This window comes from Homo sapiens, chromosome 20 (genome assembly GCF_000001405.40).
Source record: "Homo sapiens chromosome 20, GRCh38.p14 Primary Assembly".
Taxonomy (NCBI): domain Eukaryota; kingdom Metazoa; phylum Chordata; class Mammalia; order Primates; family Hominidae; genus Homo; species Homo sapiens.
The window spans coordinates 14,680,873-14,695,856 of record NC_000020.11 but is presented as its reverse complement, the minus strand read 5'-3'; the positions used below and the strand labels follow the sequence as shown (position 1 = coordinate 14,695,856).

Below are 14,984 nucleotides of genomic sequence, written 5' to 3'. Positions count from 1 at the left end.
CAGGCCAGGAATTTTGGAGTGGCTTGGCTGGATGCCTCTGGCTCAGGGTCTTTCATGATGTTGGAGTCAAGCTGTCAGCCAGGGCTGCAGACATCGGAAAGCTTGATTGGGCAGGAGAATGTGCTCCCAAGCTCACTGATGTGGCTGTGGGCTGGCTTCAGAAGATCTGCTTGCAAGCGCACTCACATTGCTGCAGGCAGGCCTTAGTTCTTCAGCATACAAGCCTCTCCAGAAGGTGTCTGAGTTCCCTCACAACATGGTAGCTGGTTTTCCCCTCCTCTAGACTGCCTCATGACATAGAAACTGGCCATGCTCAGAGAGAGTATGTAGTGAATTAAATGGTGACTCCAGATAGTTATGCCTGTGTCCTGATACCTGGAACTTATGAATGTGAACTTGTTTGGAAAAGGATCTACGTAAATGCAATTAAGTTAAGGATCTTGAGACCTTGAGATGATCCCGGATTCGAGTGAGTGCTAAATCCAGTGACAAGTGTCCTTATAAGAGAAGAGAAGGGGTAAAGACAGAGAGAAACAGGGAGGATGTCAGGTATAAACAGAAGCAGAGATTGCAGTTATGTTGCCACAAGCCAAGAAACACCTGAGGCCAATGGAAGCTGGAAGAGGCAAGGATGGATCTGCTCCTGGAACCTTCAGAATGGGGCATGGTCCTGCTGACACCTTGATTTTGGCTCTCTGGCCTCCAGAACTGAGAGAGAATAAATTTCTGCTTTTTTTGGCCATCAAGTTGTGGTAATTTGTTACAGCAGCCCTAGGAAGCTAATACAGAGTGAATTGAAAGAGAGAGAGAGAGAGAGGGAAACCACAGTCTTTTCTTTAAACTAGTTTCAGATGTTCCCATTATTCTGACATACTCCGTTTGCTAGAAGGGAGTCATTAGGTCCAGGCCATGTTTAAGTAGAGGGGAATTAAGCTCTAGCTCTCCAGAAGAGAAATATCAAAGAATCTGTGGACATATCTTTAAAACCAATAAAGCTGTCATCTGAAGTTTCTCAAAATAACTTTTAAAGTACCCCTTTTCTCTGAGGTCAAGATACTGGAAAGAGACATGAGCAAATGTCTGAGTCTTGAGGCTAGTATTGAATATTTATTAATCCCTATCTGGGACTTCCATATTTTCTCAAACACCAGTCACTGTTGCACATATACTGATGGATTATTGTCATAAAGTTTATTGGCAAAGCTCATGGGACCATAATTAATTTATATGTAACTCATCTAAAATTACTTGCAATATTACTACAAATTACTACTAAATAATAAGGTACCATATGAGATAAGAAACTTTTATTTTAAAAATACATTCATGTTCATCATCTCACTTAACAGTTATTAAATTCTCACCATACTTCTATAAGAGGGTTGGTATGATCAAAGAGACTAAGAGAGGCAGTACCTTCAGCAGAAAGATCACTATACTAAAAGTCAGGCTATAGTCTTAGCACTGTCTCTTACCACATGACCTGGGAAAAATTAAGTAATTTTCCTAGGCCTCGGTTACTTTATCTGTAAAATTCTGAGATCAAATAGGTAATAATTAAAATTCCTGTCAGCTCTATCAGAAGCAGCATTCCCTTTGTTATCTCCAAAAATTAGACTAAAGTTACAAATATGTAAGAACTGAAATAGAATATTTGTAGCAAGGGAGAACATTTCAAAAATGTATGAACTATCCTTACTGTATACATCTGGTAAGGGGATCTTTTTTCTCTCATAGCCCTTACCATTATCTGAGGTTCTTTGCTTTTATGTGACTTGTTCATTAGCATCCTCTCTCTGCTAGGACCTAAGCTCTTAGAGGACAAGGGGCCTGCTGTCTTCCTCACTATAGTCGTCTACACTCTAGAAGAGCACTCTAGCTGTGAGTAAGTACTCAATAAAACATGGGCTGAACAAGCAAATCAAGTGTGCCATGTATTTTACAAATAATAATAGAGCCATTTATCTCTCTTATCTGACAGTATTAAGAAGCGGTTCTGCGTATATGGCTTAACAGACTCTCCAGAGTGAGATCTTCACACTCCTAGACAATCACGTATAAGGAACCTCAGGCTCAGAAGTTAAGGACTTTACCAATTACAACACTCTGCATTTATGCATCTCAGATCTTCTACCATGACATTTAGTGTTCTTGACACAGAATCAATCTTACATTCTATAATACAGAGCTTGGTTACATCAATATTTTCAAGTAGAAACACCTCTAATCAAGTCATAACATGGCCTAATATTTAATCTTTGGGATTAGTGATTAATTACAGGGAGAGTTAATACATTCACGAAGTGTTCACTGTGGACTACTTTTTAATCAAATCATATATGTAAGTAATAGCTCAAGGAACATCTTAACACAGGGAGAAAAAAAATCTACACTTTTACTCAGCATTTGCTACTTATTTCAATAAATGTATTCTGCCATCTCTGCACATCAGCTACCGTAGCTCTGAGATTAACCTTTCCTGTTTGCTTGTGCCTGACCTCAGGGCATCCTAAATTACTCAAAGCCATTCTGATGGCTTTAATTTATGAGAACACCTCCAAATATTCATCTTTTAAATCCTGAAAATGATTATCCCTGTACAACAGTGGCTCTCTTTTTAATCTTAGCTGATAACTCTGATTAAACACATCCAAAGGCTGATTACCCCCACTGTGGTTAATGCCAGTGTCACTGCTAACTACTTATTTCACAGCAGGAATTGCCTTCAAGAGCCCATTTACATTATTACCTAGAATTGATTTACACTGTTATTTCCTATTGATCACATAGGAAATAGGAGGTATAGACAGCGTCCTCTAAAGGCTTGCTATGATGGCAAATAATGCAAAACACAGCTGTTTAATTCTACACTCAGCCAGTAATACAACAGTGTAAACACCAGTTGCTTCCAAAAGGTAGATATTTTTTAAAAGACAACATTTAGTATTAGAATCATTAAGTTATTTCATCACAAAGCCATTTGGGGGTGGACTCTATGTTATCACAATGGGTCAAAATAAGAGAAAATGAAAGAAGCTAAGCATAGAACAGACATGTGGCATGTGGATACATTAAGCAAAGTTTGGCCCCTGTGCTTTCTTATACTGCTAGCCTTTGAGCAGGCAGTATGTTTGGTGATGGGATAACAGAGATGCTAAAAGCAGCAGGAGTACTAGCTCTGCAGATTCCTGGAATCATGTTGTTCTCTCTTGAGTGTCTTCTTGCTCGGTTTCCTGCAGGGCAGCTATGATTATGACAAAGACAAGAGGAGATAAAAACAATGCTTTCATTAAGTCCTCCAGTAAATATGTATCAAGAGCCAACTCTGTTCTGGGTACTATGTCAGATGCTAAGGATATCAGGGGTAAATGAGACCCATAGGACACCTTCCCTTCTTAAAATGTTATTTTGTCTAAAAAGACAGGTAATAAACAAATAAACAAACACAGATGTCATCACTAGTGGAAAATGCTATAAAGGAAAAGAAGAACGTGTCAGAGTTCTCTTCAAAAAAAGCCCTAATCTGTGACCCAAATGGATACCTGTGTTGTAAAGCCAAAAGAAATCTCAAGGCAAGGGTGCTACTGGATTCCACCACTCTCTAGGGCAATGGCCCTCACACTTGAGCACGCAATAGAGTTACTTGGAGAACTTGTTAAACCACAGGGTTTCTGAATCAGTAGGTGTGGGGTGGGGCCTGAGAATTTGTATCAAACAAATTCCCAGGTGATGCTGCTGCTCCAGGAACCACGTTTTGAGAACCACTGCTCTGGTTTTTAGAATATTTCTGCCCTTCTTATTTCCACATTCATCATGAGGATCACTAAGGAGATTAAATGTATGAAACTGCTTAATGTAAATGAAAAGGGTGACAATTATGGAGAAATAGATTCAAATAAAACCTGAATTCCTTAAGCACTTAAAGAAAATGAGCCAATCCGAGTTGATTTTAGGAGGAACAATCCCATCTTCCTCTTCAGAAAGGAAGATGATTTTATGATCTTCAAAAGCGGCTTTTCTCTTTGTGTAATATAAGTCATTTGATTATGGAAGGGGCTCATGAGGGCCCTCAGGTCTTCATCAAAGGCTGGCAGAGTCATACTCCTAGCAGCATGTCCACTCCACTGCTTTCACAATCAGACACCTGCTGGGAGAGTCCACGATGGCTGAAATCAGGTCACCCTTTGCAAAGGACTAACTCAGAACCATCTTATGAATTACCTGCTCTAGAAACTGCATTTCCTGTGGACTGCAGGCTCCTTTGCAGCTAACACCACTGGAGGAAACAAGGAACAAAGATTTGCTTCCTAATACTCTGGTGGTTTAAACTGACTCTCCCTTGAGAGACTCGACTTACTCACTTCCCAGATCTGGCCCTATTGGGAAAAATCACCATATTTTTCTAGGCATTCTTTTCAAGGTGGCCTTATTATTTGAAAGATTTGAAAGGTTTCAGATCATCTTCCCAAGGTAATGTTCTCTTGAGGCAACAGAAGCAAGGATGTCCCAAGGAATAGAGGGTAGGTATTTTAGTCTCAACTTTATCAACTTTGATCTGAATAAGTAGTAATTCATTTAATAAAATTCAATATTTAGTCTCTCTGAATCTCACCTTTCTTACTTTATAAAAAGGGAAGATTGGCCAGGTGCTGTGGTTCACACCTGTAATCCCACACTTTGGGAGGCTGAGGCCAGTGGATCACCTGAGGTCAGGAGTTTGAGACCAGCCTGGCCAACATGGCGAAACCCCAGCTCTAGTAAACATACAAAAATTAGCTGGGTGTTGTGGCGCATGCCTGTAATCCCAGCTACTCGGGAGGATGAGGCAGGAGAATCGCTTGAGCCCAGGAGGCGGAGGTTGCAGTGAGCCAAGATCGCGCCATTGCACTCCAGCCTGGGCGACAGAGCTGGAATCCGTCTGACTCAGGGAGAAAAAAATAAAAATAAAAGTGCAGATTGCCACAGACCAGGGGCTGGCAAACTTTTTCCACAGAGGCTGGATAGTGAACACTTCAGGTTCTGTGGCCGTAAAATCCCTGTAGCTACAACTCAACTCTGCCACATGAAAGCAGCCATAGACAATATGTAAACAAATGGCCACAACTGTGTTCTAATAAAGCTTTATCTATAAAAACAGGCAGCAGGCCTGGCTAACACCTAACAGAGACTCCTTTCCCAGCTCAGGGATCCTTGGCCACCACGATGCCTCTAATATGGATTTAGTTTGTTAATGGGAGCAACAGATTTATTTTCCCTGTACCTGTATTTCTCTTTGTGTTGTAAGAAAACTTTACTTGTCACGTCACCTCCTCATAGGAATTTCAAAAGGACTGATGAGCTACTGTTTCAAAGTACTATGATTTCTTGATAAAGGGCAGAAAAGAAGTACTAATTATTATCAACAGTACATTTTAAGCTACTATCATCTGATTATTATTGCACCTGGGAATAGAATGTGTATTCTGATTCATACCACTCATTCAAACATATTATGCTATGGTCTCTCACCTTAGAGTTTCCCTTCAAATGATTAATGAAAACCTTGAGTTAGTCAATATTACCCCTTGATGCCTTCCAAAGATTAAATAGAAGAAATAAAAGAAACAGATTCCACCATTTCATTTACACAAGTTTAATATTTTTCCATTTATCCTTGATGACTATTCAGCCCTGAAGCCTAAGAGAGAAGCATTCTAAAGAAATAAAATAGACATGTGAGCTATGCTGAAAACCATCAAATAAGGGTGATATGGTTTCTTTATTTTTATTTTTTTTTCTCCTTAGGAGAAACTCCATTAAGAGTAAATTTTGGAGACAGGAGACTTTGTAGTATATATATGTTAAAATATGTTTTTTAAAAACACAATGGATAATTGACACTGATTTCATAATTTCTTATGAATATTAGCATAATTTTTCCTTTATATTCCACCTACTACCAATTATCAACCAGGTTTGACACTTTCAATAACTAATTCATTTGTTAGATATTTCTCTAGTACCTGTGATATACAAGGTACTCTGTTATAAAAGTGGGAAGTTTGCATATCCAACAATAAAAGGTAGCACGTGACAAGTGCCCTCAGTATGTTAACATGAAGTATTCTGGAGTGTGAAGAAAAAAGAAGGCATTTTTAGCTGAGGTGAGGCGAGAAGACTTGTTTCATGGCAGAAGTGATATTTGAACTGAGTCTGGAAGACAAGTGAAAGGAGCAAAGAAAGAGCTTTCTAGATAGCTCAGATACAGACCCCATGCATAGACACACCATTGTGAGCAATTCATATCATACAAAAGGTTGTAAGTAGTTCAGTGGAAGGCCAAAGGTAATCAGGCTAATGAGTCTGTGTTTAAGGAAAAATCCACTATCGGATTTTGAGAGGATTAGAGTTACGTTTTATTCATTCATTCATCAAATATCTTTTGAACCCCTATTATATATCACACATTTTTTAAGCTATATGAATATAGCAATACATTAGAAAAATGAAGAAAGAAGAATCTGTGCCCATATTCTGGTAGATAGAAACAGATAAGAAACAAAAGAAATAAGTAAATGATATAATGCTATTTGAAGATTAACTTTACAAGTAAGCAATTACAAATTTAAAAACTGAAGCAATTATAAATAGGTTGGTTAGGGTGACACCTGATGTTACATTTGAACAAGAGTTTGAGGTAGGTAAGGAACAAGCCATGTAGGTATCTAGAAGAATAGAAATCCAGCAGAAGGAATGCCAGTGCAAAGGCTTTGAGGACCAGGTTCACACAAAGCAGCCTGTGTGAGTGGGGGAAGCACAGAAGGAGATGATGTAGAGAAGTAAAGGTCACATCATGTAGAGCATTGTAGACAATTTTAAGGACTCTGGATTTAAGAATGTTAATTTACTAGAAATGTGCAGAATAATTGCGGAAGGAAAAGTATTAGAAGTAGAGGCAAAAGTGTTTTTAAAAACTATTTTTCAGGTGAAGAAGTCTTGAAATAATTCACTCGTCTGATCCTTCATTTATTCACATTAATTCAGCACATATTTAGGAGACACTATGATTGATACTGACATTGGAACTGACTGAGATAGACAAATCTTGCCTATGTGAAGCTGACTACTTGGCGGAATGATGATAGCATGAATAGAAATGTCCCATATGTCAACAAGCTTCTAAAAATCTATAAAAATTTAAATTGCATTATGAATTCAAAAATATCTAATATTGTAGAGAAGATTCCCAAAAGATCCAATTACATAAACAATCCTCCATCTACTTTCTAAGTCATTTCCTTAGCAATAGCCTTCAATGAAATATTGACCAATATTCTTTCTACCCTTAAGATTTCTTTTGAAAAGAATGATTGGATATTCTTAATGTCAAAAAGAAATCATTCAAAACATCCAAGCAGTGAAAAGTAAACTAAATATCTGGGGCTTATCATTCTACTAATTATGATGAGTCACAGAACACAGAATACAAGTATAATTAATTCAAATACAACCATTTATGAATAGATTAATTTAGCAAGCATAAAAGAGGCAAAAACCAGTTCAAAACTATGAAGTTTGTCTGTAACCCAGACAATAGCATTTTCCAAACAAATTGCTGATGCATGAAGATATTATCACTTGTGGCTGGATGACTGGCTTTAGTACCCCTATAATGATAAACCCGCTGTCTCAGAGGACAGATAGCAACTAGTCTCTGCTGTCAAACTGTCATGGAATTATTAAATATGGAGAGGAAAAATGACCCAAACAGTATGTAACGAGCTCCCTTTTCATTCTCACTACAAAAGCACATCTGTGGATTGTTAATGACTCTGAAATGGATGAACCAAATTGATGAGAAAGAAAAACATCTCTCAGGGATAGGGAAAGGGAAAATGAACACACACAATGTTTATCAAACATAATTTTAAATATAAGGGCTTGTGAAAGTACTGTGAAATATTATAAAGTGGCATAAAAATGTAAGCTATTATTACCATTTTCATATTGCTTTCCTTGCTTTCCTTTATGCTTTTAATATAAATCATTAACCTTTTAAATATATAGGAAGAAGCAAGACCTAGTCACAAATATTCCATGTTTATGACTTTTATGAGGTGGCACTGCAATGCCTGTCTGGTAATTTCTATTCTATTGGATGAGTTTTTACTAAACATGCCCTGTGGGCTGCATGCAGTGACTTGAGTATCTGTCGGCTCTCAGGATCTCAGCTCTCATGGATTCTGTAGCTAGTCCCATTGATTGACTGGTCATTTCTAGCTTCATTGTCCCAAAAGATCCATTTGCCCCAGGATGCCCATGAAAGCCACACTTCAGTTCGAAGTTATGACTCAAGCATTGGAATTCTTCAAGCACTGGTATTGACTCACTGATCTTTGTTCCTCAGTGCCTGGTATTGTGCAAGTCTTCAATAACCCTAAAATAAGATGAATTGTATTCAAAGGAAACTGAATAACTTATTCAAAGGGATGTCAAACAGATACAAGCACATTTAAAAAATTATCACAGTGTGAACCCATACACTACAGCCACCATTTTATTTGGGCGTATTTAATGATTCTGAGTATACTGTTCTTTAGAAAGTTCAGATTTGGAGAAATTTGATTTGTATTTTAATACATAAAAAAGAAAACAGTGAATCAATAGGGGACTGGGAATATTACTTGGTTTAAGGACAGATACAAGTCTGAAAACAGTCAATAATCTTGCTATTATTGTAGCAGTCAACAACCTTGCTTGTTCTCAGGGCAGTGTAAGTTAGGTAAATTATGAAGGTAGAATGGTATTAGAAAGCAAAAGAACCAATATTTGTAAAAATAGCACTATATGATTCTGGAGAGAGAAATCACCGTTAATACCCAGATCATGACCTCTGAGTTACAAAGAGAACTGCTCTAAACACCATTCTACACAAAGGGTTTGTTTGACACAAGTACATATTCCAAGTAGTAGTGAAGAGCCATTTGGCACATGATTTGACTATTTCACACTAGGTAAAGATACTAACAAAGAAAAATAAATGAAAAATCATTAAAGGAAAAATTAAACAGCATATATAGTTGATATACAATCATGCTTCACTTACCATCAGGAATATGGTCTGAGAAGTGACTCCTTAGGTGATTTCATCGTTATGTAATCATAGGGTATACTTACACAAACCGAGATGGTATAGCCTACTACACACCTAGACTATAGGCTATAGCCTATTGCTCCCAGGCTACAAACCTGTACAGCATGTTACTGTACTGAATACTGCAAATAATTGTAACACAATGGTAAGTATGTAAACATAGCTAAACATAGAAAACGTACAGTAAAAATATAGTACAGGTTGAATCCCTAATCCAAGTTTTGAAATTCAAAATGCTCCAAAATCTAAAACTTTGTGTGCCAACATGATGCCACAAGTGGAAAATTCCACACTTTATCTCATGTGACAGGCCAGTCAAAACACAATCAAAACTTTGTTTCATGCACAAAATTATTTAAAATATTGTATAATATCACACTCATGTTATGTGTATAAGGTGCATATAAAACATAAATGAATTTTGTGCTTAGACTTGGGCCCCATCTCCAAATTACTTCATTTTGTATATGCAAATATTTCAAAATCTGAAAAAAAGATCTGAAATCCAAATCATGTCTGGTCTCAAGCATTTTGGGTAAGGAATACTCAATCTGTATTATAATCTTATAGGACCACCGCCATATATGTGTTCCATCATTGACCAAAGCATCGCTATGCAGTACATGAAAGTACTTTCACTGAAACCATTATGAACAATATAGGATGCAATATTATATTGATAAAGAAAAATACTGTTTTAATATATTACTATTTGCTACAAGTCCTCAAATTTAAACATACCTTTACAGTAATCTTTAAAATATAACACGCTATTCTCCATTCACACACATCCACAAGAAATTCACTGTTATGACAACCTGTCTATATATAACCCATAGTATCCTATAGGTTGTATTATAAATTTTCATTCATATTTTCTCCACTGCTAAAACAAAAATCAAAACCAGCTTCACTTTTACATAAAATGTATTCCACAGATCTCAGCAGTATCATAAGAAGTGGACGAATGTGATAATCAACAAATTGGTGTCTCAATTTCCAGGTCAATACACACCTTAATGATGCAATGAAACCCTCTACCTCCAACCTCAGGCCCTGAAGATTACAGGATAAAAAAGCTATGACACTGACCAGCTTCTCTCTAAGTATTTTATCCCATACCATGCCACCCAGTTGGTTGAATCACTAAGCAATAAGGTCAATCAAATGCAATACTTCTCTCTATTAAAATATAACGGAAATTTTGACCATTCCGCATTCAAAGAGCAAACACATTCTCACACTGACAACCAGATTTCGTTGGCTTTTCCTGAAAGCAAAGTGTGACAGATGCCTTGGCTGTAATTGCCAATCAGCCTTTACATGGCAGCTGGAAAAACAATACATCACTTTGATCTCCTTTGCTCTAAACACATCCACAATCAAGAAACCTGAACAAGGAATAAGAAATTGGCATCATTTCCAGGAGCTGTCACTCTGTGGCACTTAAATGCTATAATGTATATTTTGCTCATGTTTTTATTTCCCTTTCAGAGACACTCTGTCAAAGACCTGAATAGTTAAACATCATATGTGTGTATATACATATATATATATAATATACACAGTATATGTATATTTTATATATATGTATATATTTGGAGACATACTTGGAAAGCACGTTTTTATTACCATGTACAAAATCTGAACTCAAGCACATTTAATTAAATACCACCACTGCCATTTCCTTTTCCAGTTATACACTGGAGTAAAACAAGTTAAGATGTCTCATCTGGTTTTGAAACAGTATTCAGTTGTACTCACATTTTGCAGGAAGGTCATAGCCACATGTGATTTTTGCATGTCCAGTATCACAGCCATTCAGGTTACGACATTCAGCTAGCAAACAGGGGCCGGCTGCTCTATGAATACAGCCATCCACTAAGGGAGAAAGAAGAAAGTTAGCTTATATTTGGCATTTGGAAATAAATATAAAGCTCAAGATGGGAAGAGGAAGAGAACTCAATTTGTTCTTCCTGTAAATAACCATAGCCCGTGGAAGAAAACCCAGGGTGTCCAATGTTTCAAACACTAGCTTGTTTGTGTGTGTGTTGGCGGGGGCCGGGGGGGGGGGGTGAGGTTATGTGGTGAACAGAAGTAGAAGGGTTATAGAAGTTGTGTGCTAGTTAAACAACAGGTTCTCTGGGGTGGGAGAATCCTTGATATGTAGCATTTTTCCATTTCAGTGGTATAATTCCTTTCCCCATATCCAATTTTAAGCTATTAACTTGATGTCACTGAACACAGGGTTGAGAAGAAATGCTCACAATTGTCTCTCTTTCCCGAGCTGGTACATGTTGCCTCTAACACACCACAGGTTAGAGAAGAAAAAAGTCAGTAAGAAACCTAGAAAGGTACTCTGAAACATTTGTGCTCACCTCAAAACTGAAGGAGTAGAATTAAAGCTACCAAAATCAAAACCAAACCTTTGAGCAACTTCTCCCCACAACAGAATGACACACACATGATTGTGTTTCTGCAGGGTGTCTGACTGGGTGCTGCGCAAGGGTAGATTAGGTCTTGCTTAACACCCATAAGACCACCCCTTACTCTCACTTGGCACGGCCTGAAGCAGAACTTCAGTGCTGCTCCGACTCTGCCAGAAGGGCAGGCTTTGTGCCCGTGACCAGCCTCAGGTCTCATCAGCTCTCTAGCTTTACATCTGGGCGCCTTTGACATCCAGGCATCACAAATTACCTTTTGAGAGCACAAATTTGATGTCGCTGGAAATTAAAGTTCTCTGTGTGTGAGTGCACAGGTAGAAGGGTAGAAGACTAAAAGATCACAGACACATAAATTAGGAAATTGAGGATTTGGGGCTTTAGTTATTATTGAATGGGCCCCTTGGATAGAAAAAAAAAGCAAGATTATAAAATAAAGGAAAAGAGAGAGTAGTAGTAACTGGAATGTGAAAATAGATAGAATATTAGAGGTCTGAAGACTTCTCCTCTCCACAGTCCATAACACCATGTAATTGATCCTTGATCTTTATTATCATTATCATTATTATTATTTAAGACGAAGCTGGATATGGGACAGGCTATTGGCACTAAGGGAAGTATAACTTGTCTAATGTCCAGGTTGACTTCTGCTGCCACTGCATGGCAGGGAGGCATCACTTTTGGCCTCACAAGTGTTCCAGGGAAACAACATTATCTGGGCTTTATTACTTCACCACTTGCATATCACCAAAGTTTGACAATGATCCTCAACCTCAAAGACACTCACAAAAAAATAAATTCACTCCAGACTACGCTACACTGCATGTTTTGCAAAATCTAGGTTGAAATCCAGACTTAAACATTTACCAGATATGGCATGCTCCAAGCACTGGTTTTCTTACAAGTCCTTGTCAATAATGGTAGTATCTCACACAGTTACAAAGTTGTGCATAAAATTTGAATAATTTTGTGCATGGAAGGCATTCAGCATAGTGTCTAGTACAGTGTTATGTGTCCCTTTGGTGGTAGTTATCTTAAGTACTCTAAATCAAATTTTGTGTAAATTTTGAAATAATTCTTCTTTATTTAAAAAGAAGAAATAAAGGCCGGGCACAGTGGCTCATGCCTGTAATCCCAGCACTTTAGGAGGCTGAGGCGGGCGGATCACCTGAGGTCAGATGTTCGAGACCAGCCTGACCAACATGGAGAAACCCCGTCTCTACTAAAAATACAAAATTAGCCGGGTGTGGTGGTGCATGCCTGTAATCCTGGCTACTCAGGAGGCTGAGGCAGGAGAATTGCTTGAACCTAGGAGGCGGAGGTTGCAGTGAGCCAAGATCGTGCCATTGCACTCCAGCCTGGGCAACAAGAGTGAAACTCCGTCTCAAAAAAAATAAATAAATAAAAATAAAGTTTTTTCTCTTACAAAGAAACATTAATATATTTTGTTAAAATTCTTTCAATTAGCATTTTTACTTTTTAAATTTATTACATGAAATTATTAACACAAGTGCAAAAAATACGTATACAAGGATGTCACAGTTGTTTACAATAGTGAAAACTTGGATCTACTCAGATGTCCATCAACAGGAGCTGGTTAAATAAATAAAAGCCCATCAATGCCATAGACTGTAATACACCACTTAAAATGAATAGACCAGCTATAGGTAAACAGAGTCCTTCAAATGAAAAGATTTCTCAGTGAAAATGCCAGGTTTAGAAAAGTACATATAGTATGGTTACCATTTTGTTTACAACATTATATACACACACGTACATATATATATGTACTGAATATACATATATATGGATATATATATGTAATGTAATATATATATGTAATGTGTATATATATATTCAGCACACACACATATATATATGTACTGAAAATATATGCAGCAGTTGGTGATATTATTATGAGATGGGAAACAGAGGGTGAGATTACTGTATAAGGGAAAAATTAAGTCCTAATTTCTCTATATATGAAAATTTTTTACAAGAGCTTTAAGAAAAGTATTTTAAAGTAAACGTTTTCTTGGCAAAGAGGTAATTAGTTGCTTTCAAATAGATAATGAAAATAGGATTTCCTAGTATACTTAATCATATGCTGTCAAATATTACCTGCATTATTTAGATTGCTCCTTAATGCAGTTTGCAGATATCTAATTCTCAAAATTTTCATGGTTATCCCAGTATTCCTGACTGCACTCGGGCAGTGAAAGTCTAGCTGAAGAGCTATTTAATAATAATAACTACAGCTTAAATGTACCAAATGCATCAATGTGCTGGGCACTGCACTAAGGACAACCTTATAAGGTAAATATTAATTTTATCATCTCCATTTCCTAGGATCTTAGGTTAGTAACTTGCTTACATTCACAAAGTACTCACGACGTGATTCAAAACCCCAGATTTATCTGATATTGCAACCATGCTCTTAACCATTATTAATCACTGTCTTCTCAATTCCTGCATGTGGCATATCGAAGCACTCTATTACATTACTTTTAAATTCCCATCCATTCTATTTATGACTTATAATGTACACACAATCAAATGTACAGATTTTAAGTGTGCAGTTTTGACAACTTTTAACAACTGTGTGCATTTATGTAACCATGATGCTAATAAAGATACAAAACCTTTCCCTGAACCCAAAAAGCTACCTTGTGCCCTTTCCATTCAATTTCCCCTCCCCTCACCCAGAGGGAGTTCCTGTTCTGACTTTGATCACCAGAACTGTTTTACCTGCTATATAACTTCAAACTTTATATAAAGATAGAGAGACTGCCTTCTTTTACTCCACATATTAAATATTTCTGAGATTCACCTGTGTTGTATATATTTAGACTTCTTCCTTTTTATTTGTAATACTCCATTGTTGAATATGCTGTAATTTCTTTATCCATTCATCTGTGAATAGACATTAGACTGTTTCTAGTTTTTAGCTATTATGAATCAATCTGCATACTTGTATAAACCATCTTGTAGCTATACGTTTTCATTTCCATTGGACAAATATCATTGAGTGAAATTACTAGGTAAGTACATATTTATTTTATAAAGAACTAACATAACAGTTTTCCCCAGTGATTACCATGTTACACATAACCCCAGCAATGTAAGAGAGTTCAAATTTTGGCAGTCCCTTGTTGTCGTCAGCCTTTTTAATGTTGGTAATTCTAATGACTATAAAGGAGTATTCAATGCACATTTCCCTGATAATTAATAATGCTAGATGTCTTGCCAAATGTATACTGGCCATTCATATATCTTATTTTTGGAAGTATCTGCTCATGTCTTTTGCTAATTTTTGTTGTCTTTTTATTACTGAGTTGTGATAAATCTGTTATTAATTCCATTTCACTTTTTAAAGTTTCAAATATTTCATTTTTTTCATTCTTGAAATT

General features: G+C 37.0%; 1 protein-coding gene across 3 annotated transcripts in view; it reads right to left on the bottom strand.

The window, feature by feature from the left end:
- Nucleotides 1-14,984, bottom strand: part of MACROD2 (mono-ADP ribosylhydrolase 2) — a 2,057,682-nt gene that overhangs the window by 1,357,341 nt on the left and 685,357 nt on the right. For all 3 annotated transcript variants that reach the window (NM_001351661.2, NM_001351663.2, NM_080676.6), the window contains exon 5: nucleotides 10,898-11,014. In NM_001351661.2, the coding sequence (NP_001338590.1) occupies nucleotides 10,898-11,014 (117 nt within the window). The remainder of the gene's footprint in view (nucleotides 1-10,897; nucleotides 11,015-14,984) is intronic.